The sequence below is a fragment of the Homo sapiens genome, chromosome 4 (assembly GCF_000001405.40).
Source record: "Homo sapiens chromosome 4, GRCh38.p14 Primary Assembly".
Classification (NCBI taxonomy): domain Eukaryota; kingdom Metazoa; phylum Chordata; class Mammalia; order Primates; family Hominidae; genus Homo; species Homo sapiens.
In genome coordinates this window covers 86,604,666-86,626,835 of record NC_000004.12, presented here as the reverse complement: position 1 = coordinate 86,626,835, position 22,170 = coordinate 86,604,666, and the positions used below count along the sequence as shown (strand labels likewise).

Genomic DNA, 22,170 nt, shown 5'->3' with positions numbered 1-22,170 from the left:
GGGGTTGGGGGAACTGACCCTCTGTGCAGTTGAAAATCCACATATAACTTTTTATTCCCCTAAAACTTAAGGTTCAACTGTATACCCAAAAGTGGAATTGCTAAATCATATGGTAATTGTATTTTTAATTTATTCAGGATTACTGTTTTTCATAGTAGCTGCACCATTTTACATCCCCACCAACAATGCAAAGAGTTCCAGCATCTTTGCACTCTCACTAATAAAAGCACTATTAGAGGTGTAGAAGATTAAGGGTTCATCTCCCTAATACAAAATACATTAATATTTCTTTCCATTAGAAGTAGTTATAGATCAGGTAGTAGAGAAAAAATATTATTGCCTAATATAGTTACAAAAAACTAAGAAAGAATAGGAATTTTAAGAGAAAAAGGAATAAAGCTCAGTGAAGTTTTAATTGGATGTTGCCACAAGGTAGAAACAGCATGTATCTAAATGTTTTTGTTGCAGTTGGAGCAATGTTTAGTATTTGTCAACTTTTCCATTATGCTTTCCCTGTGAAAGAAGATAAACTAAAATAAACACAAGTCTAAATTGCCTTTCTGGGCCTCTGGTTCATGTCAACTACTTATCTAAATAGAAATCATGTATGCCTAGTCCCTGCTTTCAAAGGACAGCTTCAAAGAATAAGAAGAAAAACTCTGGAATTCTTCAGTCCCTCTCTGCATCATTTAAACTTAGGAGAAAAGTAAAACCAGGGGGGAAATCTCTAATTTCACATTTGTTCTTTCTCTTCACCAACTGGAAGGTACCAACAGAAAACAATGCAATGGTAGAATTTTGATGTTGAGTATTGTCTTTCTACAACACCTTTCCTCGCTACCTACAGACTTATGTTAAGATCATTGCTTTAGGATACTGCTGATCTTCCTAAATTACATAGACTTAAAATGTCTACTGGACAGCAACCAAAGGAAACAAATACGGATAAAACACAAAAGATCAAGTAAAAATTCATATTTGTCCTTTACATTGTAAAAAATAGTGTGCTAAGCAGCATTCTGCGATTGCCCTCAAGATTCCTTTCACGTTGTAAACTGCCTACGTAGTGGGGCATATCGCAAGGACCTAAGGGTGGCCTCTAGGAGCCAAAAGTGTATCCCAGCCAACGACCAGGAAGAAAAGGTCCTACAATCACAAGGACTGAATTCTACCAACAAGCCTTTAGACTTCAGGACCATGAGTCTGGGACTAAAAGTTGAATAGGTGTGGTGTGGTACCAGACATTAAACACACACACATACACACAAAAAAATAAGCAAACAAAAACAAACTAAAAATATCTAGCAGGTGAGAGGATAAATCAATGATTATAATATATATTGTGTTAAATATCATAATGGTTCAAAGTGCCATGGGATTCCAAAAAGGGTATTTAATTAGACCAGAAAGGAAGATTTTAGAAATGATTCCAAGGTTGGGATGAGGGAGGAGGGTGTAAGTAAGAAGAAGGTAGATAAAGAAGATATAAGGGGGTTATAGTTAAGGCCTTCCAGGTAGGGGAAATAACCTGTATTAAGAGAGAGACAAGAAACAGTAGGAGGTATTCAAATTCTGTAGACTATCCAGAGAAGGGGAAGAGAAGACAAGAGATGAAGCTAAGTGGTAAATACCAGTCAGATCATGAAAGTTCCAAGATATAGGAGGAGGTGGGTAAGCAATAGGTAAAGTCACAAAGATTAGAGAGTGATTACCTTTCCAATGATACTTCATCTGGTCTGCTGAAGTCAAAGGGAAAGGAGCATGTTTCATGTTTAGAGATGGAAATGTTAGGTGGAGGACTTCTTGTCTAATGGCCTCATTCATTGGCTTAGTGAGGTAGTCCTCATGACCTATTTCAAATGCTTCATATACCTGCCCATGTGCTTATATATACCCTCAAAGAATGGCTTTCACTGTGTATTCAGGAATCTGTAGCTCCCCAGGTAGGTCCCATACACAATAATGTTAAAGAACCATTGCATTTTTGGATAAAGCTTTTTTGTTGCTTTTTAGAGTCAGGTTCTGACTATGTTAACCAGATTGGAGTACAGTGGCTATTCACAGGCATGATCATGGCACACTGCATTCTCAAACTCTTGGCCTTAAGCAATCCCGCCTCAGCCTCCCAAGTAGCTGCAACTATAGGCATGCCACTGCACCCAGCTTTTGGATAAAGCTTTAACCCTCAATTCCAATAGCTCCTATGATGTTAATCAATTCTAAGATGAGCAGTCAATGCCAGACTTTCCTAATTACTCAGAGGTCAGCTAGTTGAATACTTCCTTACCATGCTCATCCTTGATTTTAGCAACTGAACTAACTATTCAACAAAGGGCTATTTTGAGTGGTGCCCTTTTAAGTCTACAAAACTAGAAAACTAAACAAAGCAAAGGGACTATTAGAGCTGCAGAGCTCAGGTACTATAGAATCATATATCATCTTATAATGAGAGCACTGGTCCCTGGGTATTCTCTTTTTGGCTGTCCCTTGAGCCAGAGATCAGATCCTCAGCTTTTTCTTGGTTGCATTTAGCAACCAACAAATAAGTAGAGAGAAGTCAAAGATTTGCTTGGAGGATACTGCAGAAAGAGAGTTGAGAGTTGTGGCAGGAGTTATTGTGGGGAAGGATTATGGGGTCTATGCAGTATAAAAAAGAAAATAAAGCTACAAGAGAGTCAAATAAATTGTAAAAGAATGGAACGATCCACCAACTAGATTATTAATTCCTTCATTTATTTAAATATTTGTTACAACTATTATGTGCTATGCATTGATAGGTGCTAGGTTTTTATTCAATCAATTAACAAATATTTATTATTTACTATGAGCCAGGCACTGTTTTAAGTACTGAGGAGATAAGAGTGAATAAACTAGACAAAAATAACTGGTCCTATGGAGAAGACAGACAATAAATAAGTACAATAACTAGAATATCGTATGGTAATAAATGTGATGGAGGAAAATAACTAAGAAGGAGGCCTAGGGAATAGCAGGAAAGTCAGAAAGTAGACATTTAAAATATAACAATCAAGGAAGCCCTCACTGAGAGTTTGTCATTTGAGCAAAGTTCTAAAGGAGGTGAGAGAGTGAGATGTGCATATACATAGGAAAGAACATTCTGGGCAGAAAGTAAAGAATTTGGATCATAATTCCAAAAGACAGAATCCTGAAAGTCATAATCCCAAATGTTGAAATCTCAAAAGATCAAAATCCCTAAAGTCTAAAATTCTGAAAATCACAATCACAGGATAGTTGCATCGTGTTAGGTGAAACTATTGCCTGGTTATTGTCTTTATTTGGAAATGAGTTATGGTTTGAGGAGATGCATATGAATGCCAAGTTGACAAGGAGTAGACTTGTGGATTTAATTTTAGGTGTCAGCTTAATTGGATTAAGGAATATCTAGAAACCTGGTAAAGCATTATTTTGGGTGTGTCTGTGAGGGGGTTTCCAGAGATTAGTATGTGAGTCTGAGTGGAGTGGGTAGAGAAAATCTTCCCTCAATATTGGCAGGCACCATCCAATTAGTCAGGGGCCTGGATAGGACACACACAGAAGGTGAACTGGTCTCTCTCTGAGAACTGGAACAAACTTTTCTTCCACTGCCTTGGACATCAGAACTGCATACCTGCCTGTCTTTAGACTCCATGACTTACACCAGCAGACCCCCGGGAGGTTTTCAGCCTCTGAATGAGTTACACCATCAGCTTCCCTGGTTCTCAACATAAAAACATTGAGACATTGAGCTCCCAAACTGGTAGCTGTGGGACAGGTGGGAAGTGATCAGATTCTGGAAATATCTTGAAGGAAGGGCCAAAAGTTTTTGTTGATATTGATGCTCTTTGCCCTAAGAAATTGGCAGGAGGGAGTTACCATTAACTAAGACAGGAAGCCTGTGAAAGGAGTTGGTTTGGAGGGAAAGTTTCAGAGTTTGATTTTGTATGTTATGTTTGCAATGCTGATTAGACATTCAAGTGAAGATGCTAAGTAGGTAACTGAATATATGCGGTGGGCATAAACATTTAGAATAGTCAACATATAGATTGTATTTTAAAGCCCTGAAATTTCATGAGACTCTAAAGTAGTACACACAGATAGAAGAGACATCCAAGGACAGAGAGATGAAGACTAACAAGAAAAGAAGACTAAGTGGCTTTGCCCCAAAACCACCTCTTCTAGAGAGCCCTGATTATCTCAGAATAGGTTTGGCTTTTAAATAGCATTTGTTGAAATGAGGATTCAAACAAGGTCTATACACTGTATATCTCTTTTAATCTAAAACAGTAATCCCTTCGTTATTGGTTATATTTTTAAAGTTCAACTTTTTTCCTTTCATTTTAAGACCTAGAGTCCCATCATTAGAAACAAATGAAGTAAATTCACAGCAAATAGGTAAAGTTTTACTACCCTTCGTTAACATACATTAAAAGGGGCTTTATGTACTTAGTTATTACCAAAGACTCTCCATAAGCTCGTATTCTGTAATTATCTCTCTCAAAACTACAGTATGTTTTTAAAGAATTAGCCTTTATTAAATTAGCAGAAAAATCTAAGCTACAGTAAATGATAAAAAGTAAAATTGATAATTTATGTTCACACTGATTTACAGAGCACAAAATAAGGGCAATGGTCTTATTCTCCATATTCTATCAGTCTGAAGATAAATGTAACAGAATTTTACTAATTTGTGTGGTAATTACTCAGTGTGCAATTCAGAAGGAAGAAAACACAGGGGGTTGTAATGATAACTCAAATGACCTTTTGGAGAAACAAAGCAGAGAAGTTTTTAGCAAAGAATAATGTTTATTTAAGGTTCTGTCTGTTATGGATTCTATTATAAACAGTGAACTATATATCTTATTAAGGTCATTTAAAATGTATTAAGGACAGAACTCGACACATTTGATACTGCTTATTGGGTTATTGCTACTGACTTTTATTAGGAGGGAGGATGAGGAGAGAGGGAGCAAAAGGAAGAGACAAAGAAGAACATGACTGACAAAAAAGGAAAAGAATAAGAAAAAAAAGAAAAATATCTAGCCTCACTTTATCTCTTATGCATATTCTTATCTACACACGGGTTCCCAACTACTTATGACAAACTCTGGACCAGCTATGTTATGTTTAAAAAAGTAATGCAGTGCTTTACTCTATATTCTGAAACATCCCCAGCAAAGGTCTGGGGCAACACCCAGTAATCTAACACATCAACATTTCTGCAGTAAACTGATGAATATTTACACTAAGTGGGATAAATAAAAACTGTAAATAGCTTCATGTCAGTTCAGTCAGGTTTTGCCACCAAAAAAGCTCAAGTACAGTTTTGCATTCAAATGAGTTAAAAAAAAACACTTGCTTTTTCAGACATTTTTGGATTTTGAATTGCAGATGAGAGATTGTGGACACATATTTCACTAAAAAGGCTGGTTAACTCTATAAGAAAGTCGGCTATCTTTGAAAGCATTTTGCCATAATTCTAGGGACTTGAGAGTGGAACTGAACTTAATTAAAATTTATACGGTAAAGTCTAAATACATGAGGGCTACATCTTTAAATGGAGATAAAAAATTTTTAAATATGCAATTGCTTATTGTGAATACAAGAGATTTTGATGCACTAATTGTTAAAGTGATCACACCCACAACAAAGGATTTTTGTCTACATTCACAGCCTGCAGTGTGATCCCCACGTGTACCCCAGCCCAGGCTTTGTGTGCCTTCTAAGTGTACAGAATTCATTAAACGAGTGAGAAACTGGAAGCACAAGATCCAAATAGAGGTAACAGGTGTCCTACATGAAAGAGAATTAAGTCATAAATCTGTGTTTTAGGGAGAAACGGAGTGCTTCTAGATAAAAATAGCAGAGTGAGTCTTCTTGCGACAACAGATACCTAAACAAAAAGATAAAAATCTTTAGCTATGTCTATTAAACACTTGGCTAATAAGAGGGAAACAGCAGGAATAATCGTTATTTGACATTTATTTCTAAAATCACTTCTATAATTCCCAGAGGTAAAGCTAGCTAGCCCGAAATTAGACCTGCTAGAAAGAGATAGTAATGCACTGATTTAGGGAAGAGCACTTGGTAGAAATATTATTTCCTTTGTTAAGTTAGAAAATGTAAACTATACACAAATAAGTACATTTTGTGATAGAATTTGAAAATTAAATTTAATTGCAGTGTAGCATTTAAATTTCATTATATCAGTAATGTTGGCTATTTAGACATGATGTTCTAGTACAGTTCTAGGTCATGAAACTTGGAGAAAGAGGTCCTAGAATGTTTTTGCTCTATTCTCCTTTACAAATAACCCATATGTGTACTGCATTAATGAATCATCTTGCTAAGTCACCTATTTTTTCTTAAGAATAAAATTTCTGCGGGTGCAGTGCTCATACCTATAATCCCAGCACTTTGGGGAGACCAGAGTGGACAAACTGCTTGAGCTCAGGAGTCCAGCCTGGACAACATGGTGAAACCCCATCTCTAAAAAAATACAAAAATTAGCTGGCTATGGTGGTGTGTGCCTGTGGTCCCAGCTACCTGGGAGGCTGTGGTGGGAGGATTGCTTGAGCTGGGGAAGTCAAGGCTGCAGTGAACCGGGCCTGTGCCACTGCACTCCAGCCCGGGCAACAGAGCAAGAACTTGTCTCAAAAATAATAATAATTAACAATAATAAAATTTATTTAAGATTTATTTCCTCCCCTTATAATCTTACCATACCCAAATGTCCTTATTTAATATTTTTTAAATGTCTCATTTTTACATTTGAATTTATTTAAAAAGCAAATCTTAGGTCAATATTATGTTCTTAAATGGAAAACCAGTAAAATGTTCCATAAATAGAAGGTAAGTACAAAAGTCACTATCAATCCATACATGAGAACACAATAATGTTATTGAATATGAGCCACAAGAGTGTGGCCTGCCTGTGCAGCAACACTCCAAGCTTGGGACATGTCTCTATTTGTTAAAAAGGGAGATTAGCAAGTCAAACAAACAAACTAGCACCAGAATGGGACTCTCTCCATGACCTCATCATGGAGACAAGTATTGGGGGAAAAAAAAAAAGAAAAAAGAAAAAGAAAGGAACTTGCTTATTGCAGGATTTGATTTTCTGAAATTTAGCTGCAGAAATTACCTCTCTTACCATATTACTACTCTTAGAAAAGCTCTACCTTAAGCCAAATGTAATAATCAGAGATGTTAGAGAAAACATTTAGAAATATAGAAATGTGGTATGGTGACAGGAGTTGAAATCTGGACTCTTCCCTCCCTCCACTGCCTTTTCCACTTCTCCTAAGAAATGAAAGGCCTGAAGATTTGGAAAGATTCAGGATAAAATCTCATGTCACTGCTTAGATATAAAAATTAGATTTTTTAAAAACTGAAATGTATAAAATATTTCAAAATGGAAATTGGTAATATCAAAATCATTTTTAGAATGGAGCAATTTGAGTAGAATTTTTGACAATGTCCAAATATTAAGTTGAAATTGTTGTAATTACTGGAATATACATAGATGTATAATGTTTCATCTGTGATTTGAGAAGTTATTTGGGCTTACTCTTCCATTTATTTTCTCTAGAATCAAATTTGTTTCTACTCCTGATTAATATACCTAACCTTCTGAACACCATACATAAGGTTGAATACAGTACACTGTAGGCTACCGTGTCAGTTGTTTACCCTTGTGATCGCGTGGCTGACTGGGAGCTGTAGCTCTCTGCCACTGATTGGCATTGTGAGAGAGTGTCCAACTGCGTATCAAACCCACAGTCAGTATCATACTGAATGGGCAAAAACTGGAAGCATTCCCTTTGAAAACTGGCACAAGACAGGGATGCACTCTCTCACCACTCCTATTCAACGTACTGTTGGAAGTTCTGGCCAGGGGCAATCAGGCAGGAGAAGGAAATAAAGGGTATTCAATTAGGAAAAGAGGAAGTCAAATTGTCCCTGTTTGCAGACGACATGATTGTATACCTAGAAAACCCCATTGTCTCAGCCCAAAATCTCCTTAAGCTGATAAGCAACTTCAGCAAAGTCTCAGGATACAAAATCAATGTACAAAAATCACAAGTATTCTTATACATCAATAACAGACAAACAGAGAGCCAAATCATAAGTGAACTCCCATTCAAAATTGCTTCAAAGAGAATAAAATACTTAGGAATCCAACTTACAAGGGATGTGAAGGACCTCTTCAAGGAGAACTACAAACCACTGCCCAATGAAATAAAAGAGGATACAAACAAATGGAAGAACAGTCTATGCTCATGGGTAGGAAGAATCAATATTGTGAAAATGGCCATAATGCCCAAGGTAATTTATAGATTCAATGCCATCCCCATCAAGCTACCAATGACTTTCTTCACAGAATAGGAAAAAACTACTTTAAAGTTCATATGGAACCAAAAAAGAGCCCACATCGCCAAGTCAATCCTAAGCCAAAAGAACAAAGCTGGAGGCATCACGCTACCTGACTTCAAACTATACTACAAGACTACAGTAACCAAAACAGCATGGTACTGGTACCAAAAGAGAGATACAGAACAATGGAACAGAACAGAGCCCTCAGAAATAATGCCACATATCTACAACTATCTGATCTTTGACAAACCTGACAAAAACAAGAAATGGGGAAACGATTCCCTATTTAATAAATGGTGCTGGGAAAACTGGCTAGCCATATGTAGAAAGCTGAAACTGGATCCCTTCCTTACACCTTATACAAAAATTAATTCAAGATGGATTAAAGATTTAAACGTTAGACCTAAAACCATAAAAACCCTAGAAGAAAACCCTTGGTATTACCATTCAGGACATAGGCATGGGCAAGGACTTCATGTCTAAAACACCAAAAGCAATGGCAACAAAAGCCAAAATTGACAAATGGGATCTAATTAAACTAAAGAGCTTCTGCACAGCAAAAGAAACTACCATCAGAGTGAACAGGCAACCTACAGAATGGGAGAAAATTTTTGCAATCTACTCATCTGACAAAGGGCTAATATCCAGAATCTACAAAGAATTCAAACAAATTTACAAGAAAAAAAACCCCATCAAAAAGTGGGTGAAGGATATCAACAGACACTTCTCAAAAGAAGACATGTATGCAGCCAAAAGACACATGAAAAAATGCTCATCATCACTGGCCATCAGAGAAATGCAAATCAAAACCACAATGAGATACCATCTCACACCAGTTAGAATGGCGATCATTAAAAAGTCAGGAAACAACAGATGCTGGAAGGGGAAGGGGGAGGGATAGCATTAGGAGATATACCTAATGCTAAATGATGAGTTAATGGGTGCAGCATACCAACATGGTACATGTGTACATGTGTAACAAACCTGCACATTGTGCACATGTACCCTAAAACTTAAAATATAATTTAAAAAAGTAAAAAAATAAAAATAAAAATTCAAAATTCCAAGTACTGTTTCAATTCAATGCCTACTGTTTTTGCACCATCGTAAAGTAAAAAAATCATTAAGTTGAACCCTCCTAAGTCGAGGACCGTCTGTAGACATATAACTTGAAAAATCTGGTCAGTGCAACAGACGAATTGAATTTTTAATTTTTATTTAATTTTAATTAATGTAAATTTAAATGGCCACAGGGAACTTGTGGCTACCACATTAGATAGTAAAGCCCTAGAAAATTATGAAAATAGGGTTATAACAGGTTGCTTTGCTTCCTCTCTTGTCCCTCAGTAGTCTATTCTCACTAGTGACTCTTCAATATAGGTCTAATCATGTAATTCCAATGCTTCGTGGCTTCCCATCACACTTAGAATAAAAATTTTAAATTCCTACTCAAGCTCACAGCTCCCTACAAGATTTTTTCCTCAAACTATCTCATCTCAACTATTCACGCTCTCCCCTTCAGTCCTGACACACTCAACTCCAGTCTTGGTGACTCTTAATTAAGCCCTTGCATTTGTCTAGAACACTCCTGTATTAGGCTGTTCTTGCATTGCTGTAAAGAAATATCTGAGGCTAGGTAATTCATAAAGAAAAGAGGTTTAATTGACTCATGGTTCTGTAGGCTTTATAGAAAGCATGGCATTGGAAGGCTTCTGGGGAGATCTCAGGAAGCTTAGAAGGAGAAGGGGGAGTAGGCACATCACATGGTGAAAGCAGGAGCAAGGGAGAGAAAGAGTGGGTGGGGAGGTGTCACATACTTTTAAACAACCTGACCTCGTATGAACCCAGAGCAAGAGCTCACTTATCACCAAGGGGATGACCCAAGCCATTCATGAGAAATCTGCCCACCCACCCCCCATGGCCCCACGATCTAAATACCTCCCAACCAGGCCCCACCTCTAACATTGGGGATTACATGTCAGGATGAGATTTGGGCAGGGACAAACATCTAAACTATATCAACTCCTGTCTGAAATATCCACGTCTGAGCTGCCTCACTTCATTCAGTTCATTGATCAATTCTTACCTCATCTCTATGAGGTAACATCTCTATGAGGCCTTCCTTGACCACCTCAATCTAAAATACCAGCATCACCCACTCCCTCACTCTCTCATACCATTATCCAATTACATAACACTTCATGACATTTATAACACTTTATATTATAGAATTAATCTTTATTGAATGTATTTGACAACAAAATGTAAAACTAATGAGGACAGAGATTTTGTCTCTTTTGTTAACTGGTGTATCCCTAAATGTCTAGGACAACTGCTAGTACACAACAGATTCTCAATAAATATTTACTGAATGACAATAAACTCAAATCTCATTTACCCTCTCTCAGTCTTACAGTCACATAAGAAATATTTATTCAGTGCTCATTATTTACAAGGCACTGCATCAGACAATGTAGGGAATTCAAATTGAAAGTAGCTTAGACCCTGTAAATCAGATTACTGCTGGAATACTCCTTAAAGTTCTTTAAATCCTAAGTTTTGAGCCTATGACTTAGAAATAGCTGGAACTGTTTCCATTGGGGAAGAGAGTAGGAGATATGATGTCTATCTTTTAATGTTAAAACATTTGCCATCTGGAAGAAGTAGTCTTTTTATGGTATTCCTAACAGAATGCAGAACTGAGACCAATGAGTTAAAATTGGGTAGTTTTCAGTATCATATATGTACCTTCTAATAATATAGAAAAACTCTTGAGATAATGTCCTTAAGTGGTTAAGCAGAGGGAAATAACCATCTGGAGAGGATGTCATAGGGATTTTCCTATATTAGGTGACTGGGGTGGCCTCAGAGGACCTCTAACATGTTTTCCAAGTCTAACACTATATTGTCTGTAAAATGCTATAATGAACGCAAATTAATATATGTTATTTTCTAACAAGTTGCTTCCTGCTTGTTACAAGTAATAACTTTCAGGGTTGACAGACAGTAGGGAATGAAAATGAGGATCAAAACAGAATTAACACACAAATATTCTACTGAATAATTAAGAACACTATGTACCTGTGCTTGCAGAAATACAGTCATGTAAGTATCAGATTGAACCATATGAAACTAATAATATTTGACCATCTTTATGGTTCAACTTAAAAATGACTTGTCAGGTTTTATTAGCATAGTCACTATGTAATTTCTGTATCTGCATTATTAGAAAGTCATTCTTAAAAGTATTCGGCTAACAGAAAACAAAATCAATGCAATAGCATATGCCATCTTCTAACATTTCACTTGGACTAACAAAACACGATAAATCCTTGGTTCCAATCAATAGACCGTGAGAGATTTACTCTTAAAACCTACAACTAATAGGTCCATTAATTCCTAGGAACTTGAAAAATCTGCTAAAAACAAATTGTGTACTATAATATATGCTAGGACTAGACATGTAGTTCAGTAGCAGATTCAAACTTGTTAGTTAATAATCAGAATCTAGATGACAACCCCCTACTTCAATTAGTAATTACATCTTAGGTAATCAGTACAATTATAATACAACCAGGTTTTTTTCTTAATTCAAAAACCAAGTATAATTTTTAGGTCTGAGGTTTACAAAGGGCATTTCAGCTTTCTTAAACCTAAATCTACATCTTAGCAGTCTAATGTTAGAGGTTATTTCCAAAATCAACAATACTTTACTGGAATTGGTAGCATTCCTTTAGTACTGAGATTTTCGAGTAAGCAAGCTTTACATTTTCCATTACAGGACTGTTTTGTTTTAGTCCATGGCAAGACAACACAACCTTATTATCAGGAAATATATCTTGATGTTTTTTGTTTCACTATAAATACCCATTTACATTTACCTGATAATTCCAACTGGTTTTTGGCATGAATTGGCTATTTGTTTAATTGACCATGTCAAAAGTATTCTGTCAGAAGTAAAGGAAATTTTTAGAAGTCAAACCAAGAAATAATAGCTTTACTGAGAAATGATTAAATTTTTTATAGTAAAAAAAAGATTATCCTTTTTGAAGAATAGTATCTTATCAATTTGTAAAATCAACCATACAATAGTGTTGACAAAAACTTTTGTGTGCAAATAAAATTGCAATATTACAGTTTTAGTAAAAACAATTCATTTAAACTAATAAATCAAACAGAGTAATTTAGAGTGGGGTTATTTTGTTCTGTTTATAAATGGGGGTAATTTTGGGTTGTTTTTCTGTTCAGTTTACTGACACAGATTTTGTCTTAAACACTTTGTCTAGAAATCCGTCTTGTATATTACAACAAAACTACCCTATATACTGAAAAAGTTGCTAATAAATTCGATTGTATTTTATATAAAAAGTAAATGCCATGGTGCTTATTTTTCCTAGCTATGTATCTCTGAGCCCCTTACCCTTAAAAACAATAGGATTGACAATTATGAGTTAGAAAAATACACAACTCTTAACAGATATTCTTCTTCCATTTCCACTGCCCTTACTCCCTGTTGCACAATCTGTCTTCCAATACAGAGATCAGAAATTCTAGGTATTTAACTTCCCAGTCTCACTGCAGTGAGGATATAAGCAACCCATCCTAGCTAATGGTACTGAGACAGAATGTAGTGAGAGAGAAACCAGGAAAGATTTTCCTTCCTAACAAAAAGATAAATGAGGGGAAATGTCTTTATTCTTTGTCTAGCGATGCAAAAAAGAATTAACATAGCAGGCTTGCTCGCAAGGTTGACCTTTAGCTGGCATCTGAGAACTTTGATTTCAGGAGGGTTCTCACTACTCCCCAAACTCTTTTTTTTTTTTTTTTTTGAGACGGAGTCTCACCTTGTCGCCCAGGCTGGAGTGCAGTGGCACAATCTTGGCTCACTGCAAGCGCCGCCTCCCGGGTTCATGCCATTCCCCTGCCTCAGCCTCTCTAGTAGCTGGGATTACAGGCGCCCGTCACCACGCCCGGCTAACTTTTCGTATTTTTAGTAGACACGGGTTTCACTGTGTTAGCCAGGATGATGTCGATCTCCTGACTTCGTGATCTGCCCGCCTCGGCCTCCCAAAGTGTTAGGATTACAGGCGTGAGCCACCGCACCAGGCCACTACTCCCCAAACTCTTAAAAGTGGCACACTGTGTGTCTAAACTATTTGTGCAAACAATGTGGTTTATGCTGAACACCTGCTTTCCTTATGGGAATCTGGAATTTTGGTAAGTGCTCGGCAGAGGTTACCCACATGATCAGCCCTGAAGGTAATATTCCTTGCCCACAGTAAGTAGTCAAAATGTTAGCCATTATTATTTCATTACTGCACTTTAAAGAGTCTTATAAAGTGGGCCAATTTACTTTTCTCAGCCTATTATCAAGTTCAATAATTAGAAAAGTATCAGATACATTTATTGATGTAGTTAGCATTTCCAGTGTTCTTCATTTTGTTGTGTAAATCCATTTGGTATCATTACCCTACTGCCTGAACAACTGTCTTTAACATTTCTGGTAATGCAGATCTGCTGGTTATCAATTCTTTCAGCTACTGTATATCTGGGGAAAAAAAACCACTTTATTTCGCCTTTGTTTTTGAAAGATATTTTCTTTGGGTAGAAATTTTAGGCTGACAGTTTCAGCACTTTAAAGATGTCACTATGCCTTCTTCTTGTTTGCACTATTTTTGACAAGTAATATACTGTAATAGTCATCTTTGTTCCTCTGTACGTAACCCAATTTCCTCTCTCTGTCCCACATGCTCGCTTGCCTTTTTCTTTGGCTTTTTTTTCTATGACTACTTCTAAGATTTTCTCTTTATCAGAGGTGTTGAACAGTTTGAATATAATGTGCCTTGGTGTAATTTTCTTCATGTTTCCTATGCTTTGTGTTCACGGAGATTCCGAAGGTGTGGGTTTATAGTTTTCATCAAATCCAGAAAAATCTCAGCCATTATTTCTTCCAATATTTTTTCTATCATGCTTTCTCTCTCCTCTACTTCAGGGACTCAAATTTCATATGTTGAGCTACTTAAAGTTCCCACAGCTCAGATATTCTGTTCATTTTTGAGTCTTTAGAGGTTTAATATATTCCTACTTAACTTTTGAACACATGAAATAGTTACATAAAACTTTTAATGTATTTATCTGCTAATTCTAACCTCTGTGTCAGTTTTGAGACAGTTATGATTATTATCTTCTCATTATAGATCATATTTTCCTGCTTCTTTGTGTGCCTGAAAATTACCGGATGCTATATATCATAAATTTTATCTAGTTGGGTGTAAAATATTTGTAAATATTTTTGAGTTTTGCTCAGGCTTGAAGTTAAATTATTTGAAAACTTCAAAGTTTGATCTTTTCAGGTCTTATTTTAAAGATTTGTTGGACTTGTCCAGAGCAGTACTCAGTCTAGGGCTAATTATTCCTCACTACTGCGTAAGATTCTTCTGTGTGCTCTACCCAGTGCTTCATACATCTTGAGCATTTGCAGCCCAGTTTGTGGGAACAGGCACTATTCCTAGCCCTGTGTGAGCACAAGTACGGTTTCTTTGAATCCTTTTGTGTGGTTCCTTGTCAGGCCTCTGGTCCTTTCCTGACATGCATGTAATGTTGAATACTCAGCTGAATACTCAAAGGGGACCATCTGTAGATCTCCAGGGTTTTTTCTCTGCAGTTCTCACTTCTCTAGTACTCTGTCCTGTTAACTCTAACTGCCTTGGTCTCCTCAGACTTTCAGCTCCATCTCCTGAACTCAGGGAGTCTACCATTCTCCATCTGGTTTCTCCCACCATATGCCGCAGCCTGGAAACTCTCTCAAGGTAGTAAGTAGAGGTAGTGATAAGGCTTATCTTGTTTCCATCTCTCACGGATCACTGTCCTTTATTACCCGATGTACAGTGTCCTGAAAATTGTTGTTTCACATATTTTGTCCCTATTTTAGTTTTTTGCAGGCAGGTGGGTAAATCTTATCCCTGTTATTCCATCTTAGCTACAAGTTTCACTAACTTATGCTTATTTCTCTGTACTGAACCACTGTAAATGGCATCCCAGTTCAATCATCCCTGATAGAGTAGGGTCAAATCTTACATGGTTATGAGATCACCCCTCTAGATTGTTTTCTGTGGGCCTTTTCACTAACTGCCTTAAAGGCAGTCCATTCTGCTTAAAAAGCAATTTTAAAAGAAGTAATATTAAGACTAAGTAAGGAATTGTAATGCTATGGGGAAGAATGTCTGGAAGTTTGTGCAGGTAAATAAATCACAAAGTGATTGACTTTCTACAGAGTTTGTACAAGAGGATTTTTATTTTATAACTCTTGCAAATGAAAATAATAATCGTGGGAGAAGCAGGGAGATACTGAATGTGAAAGTAGGAAAAAGGAAGAATAGCAGAACTTGACAATGAAAGGGGATCAGAATAAAATTTTTCTAAGAAAAATAATGGAAATCAAGTCATATATTTACACATAAGACATCATCTTCTATACATTTTAGGAACTAGTCTTTTGCTCTCTCTTCCTACACAAAAAATCCAATTATTTACTTCATTAATATGCTAAGGTAAAATATTAATCAAAACAGACAGCTGGAATCATTATTAATACCATTATCTCTTAATAAGTATCAAAACAGAATAGGCAAGTTCATGCAAGTGTAAGGCTGTTAAGATAATCTAGGGCATAAACTCCATACTGGTGGCCCATGGGCTTTATTTGGCCTGCTGACATGTTTTGTTTGGCCTATAGGACAACAGCCTACACCACATTTGCAAAAGTGTAAATTTGCATTCCAACGTTTACAAATTAGAAGACTTCACAAATTAGGGAGATTTCATATAAAAATTGGAGGGAAAAATAGGAGATGTGGCAGCACTCAAGGTGGATAGTAGCTTCCCACTTTATCTAGTCTGAGCTCTTTAGTTCACTACAGTTTTCATCACTCATTATTGTCTTCCTCCTCACTTAACTGCCCTGGCCCCTTTTTTGCCCCTGCAGGCATTTAGGCTAGTGACACTTGATTTAGGCTATGTATAATAATATTCTAACAAACTAACATTTTTTGACTTTGAGAATAACTGCATAAAAGCATGACCAAAATTTCTAATTTCTCTAAAGGGGAGATAGATTCCTAGAAAGATACTTTGAAAGAGTTCTTATTTTCTACCAATAGTAGGAAGCTGTCTTTGGGGCACATTTTTAAACTACAGATTACTGGGGCTGCAGGAAGTATTCCAAAATCTTTATTTTATTTTATTTTATTTTTGAGATGGAGTTTTGCTGTCGTCTGGCTGGAGTGCAGTGGTGTGATCTTGGCTCACCGCAACCTCTGCCTCCTGGGTTCAAGCGATTCTCCTGCCTCAGCCTCCCAAGTAGCTGGGACTACAGGAGCGTGCCACCACACCCGGCCAATTTTTGTATTTTTAGTAGAGATGGGGTTTCACCATGTTGAATCTAAACTTTAGGTACATAATAAGACTAACTCCATATTTAGTCTTAGTATTCATACTTAAGCCAAGGAAAGAAAACTAGAAAAACAAACATGTTTTTAAAAATTTCTATGTATCTAGCTTCTTTGCACACCAATGCTCTATAAGATAACTGAAATAGATCTAAGTCCCCCGAAGTACAACTTCGGTTGTACCCAATATTTGTCAACCTCAATTAAAAGAAAATTTTCAACTTAAACAAAACCATAAAATTAGTACTGCTAAGACATCCACGTTTGCTTTTACGACTAACTGATATCTAAGTGCTAACAAAAGAAAGGGATTAACAGGTTAAAAGTGTGAAACATGTTTGACTAATGAGGTAATCTGAGGAAAAAAAAGAAAAGCAGAAAAAATAAGTTATGCTATTTAATATATAAAAGATGAATACTTTATTTGTATAAATTCTTTTCAAAAGCCAAGAGCTTTTAGCATACTACGAGGGTACATACAAAGTTTCACACTGAGGAAGACTAAAACACCAGTTTAGTGCAACATTATGTCTCCTCCTGGCTTCGGTGACATTACTGAAAATGAAGGATACAGAAAAGCACCCCAGGAAGGGGACTTGGAGGCAAAACAAAGATGACTTACTTTTCAATCTTTGTACATTTTCAACCTTATATAAATACAAGTTTTACCTATTCTATAAAATAAGATACTTAATAATAAACTTTATCTGCTATAACTAAAGTCTGCATAACTCATCCTCTTCAGAGGATAACAAAACTGTTTACTTAATAAAAGAATTACATGATCATCTAAACTATTTTCATAGGGATAACAGTACATGACTCGTAAGAAAAAAATAGATGTGAAGACAGCCAGTTGAGGGAAAGGATTAATAGTGATTTCAATTTTATGTCTCAAAGAACTCTAAGCTACAAAGTCCACTTCTCCAACTAAGAGCAAATGGCAACCAATTGTGAATGAATTCTAAAACCATGTGATAAACTAAAATTTAGAAACTTTTGTAGTTCTCCTCAGACACTTTTTACATCACCACATACAAAGCATCCAGCCCTACTGAAAGAGTCAATTCAAAGGAGAAGAAAAGAAACTTTGTTAGCAGTCAACAACAGTTTGGGGCTCTGTAAATAACTGCCATCAACCAAACCAAAGGATGATTTTTAAACGTACTAAGTATGTAATGAAGACTTGGTCATAAACTATTCTCAATGGCCATACCTTAATAAGATAATTATTTCCAACTCTGAACTAAAAGTTATAAATGATTTTCACTATTAAAATACCTAGTGCATAGTGTTTAGGCACACAGGCTTCGGAACCAGATTGCCTAGATGCAAAATGCTGGCTCTCCCACTTACCATCTATATTTGGGCAGATTTTAATTAATCTAAGTGCACCTCAGTTTCCATTATCTATAAAAAGGAAGATAACAGTAGTATTTACCATAAAGTTATTTTGAGGAATTAAATTTTTATTAAACAGTATATTTTATAAGCATGTACTATCATTATAATTACCTAATCATCTTTGTAAAGCAGCAACCCAGCCTAATTTTATAAGCATGTACTATCATTTCTAGTCATCTTTGTAAAGCAGCAACAGAGCCTCAAGTAAATCTTCCAAGAATTGGCTAGAATAACATAAAGCATTAGAATCAGTAAGCTTCCTCCATATTTAGAAGAAAAAAATCTTCGGGCAAAATATCATAATTTGTTCCTCAACTTAACAAACCAGATTCTATACATAGTGAATTCTTCACAGTCGAATCTCTCTACTCCTAAAATAGGTTGGTTCTCCCTATACAAATCTTTATAATGTCCCTCACTATTTTTTTCTGGCCTTTTTAAATGAAAGTTTTTATTAAAAAATAAGGCAACACAAAAACAATAGTTATGATCATGCTTTATTTGCCAGGTTTTACCTTTTATCTATTTAACATATTTCCATGTTACAAAAAGCTCCTTATCAATCTAATTTTTGATGACCACAAAATTCTATTGTAAGGATTTAGAATAAATCATTCCTCTTTTCTAAGCTATTTGTTTCCAATTTTATATTACTACAAATAATGCTGTGATGAGCATCTAAACATTGTTAAAAGATTTTCAAAAGGGCACTTCATTATCTTTACTTTACTCAACAGTTTTATAGGAACTCGGCGCTGTGAAGCCCAAAAGTGACAAGTTAGTAGAGGAAGACCTTGAAAAAAGAAAAGCTAAAAGGAAAATATATCATTGCAAGAACTGTTTTAAAAGCTCATAAAAAAACTCATGAATTTAGATGCCAAATTAGACTGCCAAGGTCTCTTTCATCTTTTCTAGGGAAATTGAGGCGATTTTTTGCCCCACCTTAATACTGCTCATGTCAAAAGACACTACTGATATGAGAAGTTACAGTTATGATAGCTGACTGGAGTAGGACAGGCTTGGATTCAAGTGTGTACTCCACTACCACTCATTAAGCCTCTCTAAGCCTCAGTTTTCTCATCTGTAAAATAAGAATAACAGCATTTACTTCACAGGATTGCGTGTACCTCAACAGGACTGTAAAGATAAATAATATACTACGTCTCAATTTCTTAAAAGAGTGCCTAGCACACAATAATATTCAAATAGTACCTTATCATTGGAGTCATTTTCAGTGTTCATTTAGATGATGTGAAAGACAATATAAGCATACACGTATATATTAATGGTGTAATCTACAGATTATAATGGCATAGAATCCTATTTATAGACATCATAGATATCTTTTAAAATATTTTCATGTAGTATAAAAAGGTTGTAAAATGTAGATGGATATATAAAAATCTTTATGATATCCCTCATTAGGGTAGTAAGGGTATTTAAAGACTTTTTTTAAAAAAAAGATTAACAGTTTTAAAGGAATCATAAACATGAATTTTGCTGTTTATAGCACATACAATTATAATTTTTATCTTGAGACAGAATCAAATTTTTAAGTCTTATTTTATATGATTAAGAGGTTTAATGAATTTAAAAGAATGCTAAGTGCTCCAGGATTAATTTATCAGCTGGAATAACATTATTTCCTCTTGAGTTATTTTTCTTAGAACTATGTGGCAATACAAAAAGCAGCAGAAAATGTACTGGCCACCATTATGGACAGTTATTAATCAAGGCAATGACAATCCTTCAGATGATATGGCTAGCTAAAATAGTACTTTTAGAGGTCTATACTGAATTTTGCTGTTATTTAACAAGCAACTAGGTGACTTTATGCAATCAACTAGGTATTTGTAGAGTCAAGGAGTTTCATTATGTTATTTCAAGAATTAAGAAAAAAATCTAGTCTTGAGTGGGTAAAATACTAAACCTATTTATTGAATTGCATTGCACTTGACGGTACGCCAAATAAAACATTTATCTGATTTTCAGATGGAAAGATGCGATTCATTTAGAAACTTTTTAGGAATAGATACCTGCCAAGTATAATGCTAATTTGTAAGAGGAGAATAGAATTATTTTCATTATTTCATTCATTCATTTCTATTTCTTTAGACAGTAGTCAAAACAATTTGTGGAAAGCACTTACAATTAATTTTAAATTATGAATCCTAGTGATTATCACAATAAATAAGCATAAAGACTAACAGTAAAGTCACACTGGGGCAAATATAAAACCAACTACTATAGCAGAATATTAAAAAATGAGTAAGATTTTGATTTAAACAGTTTTTTTCTAAGTGTATAGTGTAGGTGGCTCATTTTAAATACAGCCCCAATCCCAGATTAAGTGAACCAAGCAGTAACTAATCCACACAGCATATTCAATTAAACAAACATCATATACTTGTTTTAGGATCAAGATCCTTTGTTGGCGCTTGTTCTAAAAAAGTGGCAGATAGAGGAAAATGATAAATATCTTTAATTCAATCAATAGTTGGCTTATTGAGCAAATTTAGAAACTACTAAAAAAATCACTTTCCATTTCACCCAATCCTCCCAGCCTCAGTGGGATTTCCTCATTACTACAAGCCCCATATTTTACTTGACCATTATAGACTGTAATAATTTCTTTCACTTTACTCTTCGTTTTCTGCAAATGTGGACTGAGGCCATCACTGTTCAACTTATTCAACTTCAAACTCACAAAGCCTCTATAAATCCTTTAACAACCTCTCATTACTTTCCCAACAGTAATGATTCCCAACTTTACCTATATCTCTTTATTTTCACCACTACCCAAATAATGCCTGAGATAATCTTGCCTCCTATGACAGCACTTTCTGAAGATACTATCACTAAGTGTAAATTATCTATAAAATCTTATTTTTAGATTTTATATGCCAAGAGATAATCTTGCCTCCTATGACAGCACTTTCTGAAGATACTATCATTAAGTGTAAATTATCTATAAAATCTTATTTTTATTTCTATTCATCAATAGGCCCACATCTATCTTTGTAGCCTTTCCTTCAATCTTACAGGAAAAAGTTGTTTCCCCCTGACTAAAATGAATACCTCTACCTAGGACTCATTCTTTACCATCCAGACAATCCTCATAAAAGGAGATGATTCTTTCTCACTCTGCCATTTTAAATCTCTTAATCTCACAGAATCAATCTGTTCTTTCACCACCTTTGATCTTAAAAAGGAAAAATGTTCTGACCCTATGAATCCTCATAGATCAGATCATCCAACTTTCATCTGTTTTGAAACCAAATATCATCCCCCATTTCAATTTCCTTTCTATCCCTGCAATATTCAACTGATCACAATGTTCTACTTTTCTTTAGCCTTCTCTCTTTGGCTCCCTGTGGCATCTGGAACTATTGGTCCTTTACCCTCCACTCTCCTAAGGCACTTTCTTTAACATAACATTTTCCTAGTTTCTTAGGCACTCCCTTCTCTGTCCTCATCCTTTTCTCACTTTGACAGGTCATCTTCAGCATTTCTTTGTAAACACTTCCCTCATGAATTCACTTACTCTTATCTTTTGTTTTACTCCATGACATACCATTCCCATCTACAGACATTTAATGTCTTCAAGACTCAGCTCACACTCTACTCCCCAAGTGAATCCTGATTAAATCAGACCACACTTTCTTCCTTAAAGCTTTCATTGCAGTTAATCATTATTTTACAATATATAATGGCTTCCTGTCTTTTCTCTGTGTGTTTCAAGCAAGATTTTAAGTTTTTTGGTAGCAACCACTTTTATTTTTCAATATTTCTCAAAATACGGAAAATAATTCTGAACATAGAGTGGTCAAATATGTTACAGTAGTATAATTAGTTTACACAAGAAACAAAGGATATTAAAAAAATAAATGTATTTATAAAACATTTCTAATTGTTGCTATTTTTTAAATGGTCGAATAATGCTGTG

General features: G+C 35.5%; 1 protein-coding gene across 24 annotated transcripts in view; it reads right to left on the bottom strand.

Moving 5' to 3' along the window:
- The window catches only part of PTPN13 (protein tyrosine phosphatase non-receptor type 13), a 220,847-nt gene that overhangs the window by 188,326 nt on the left and 10,351 nt on the right, over window positions 1-22,170 (bottom strand). The gene's annotated exons all lie outside the window — the stretch shown is intronic.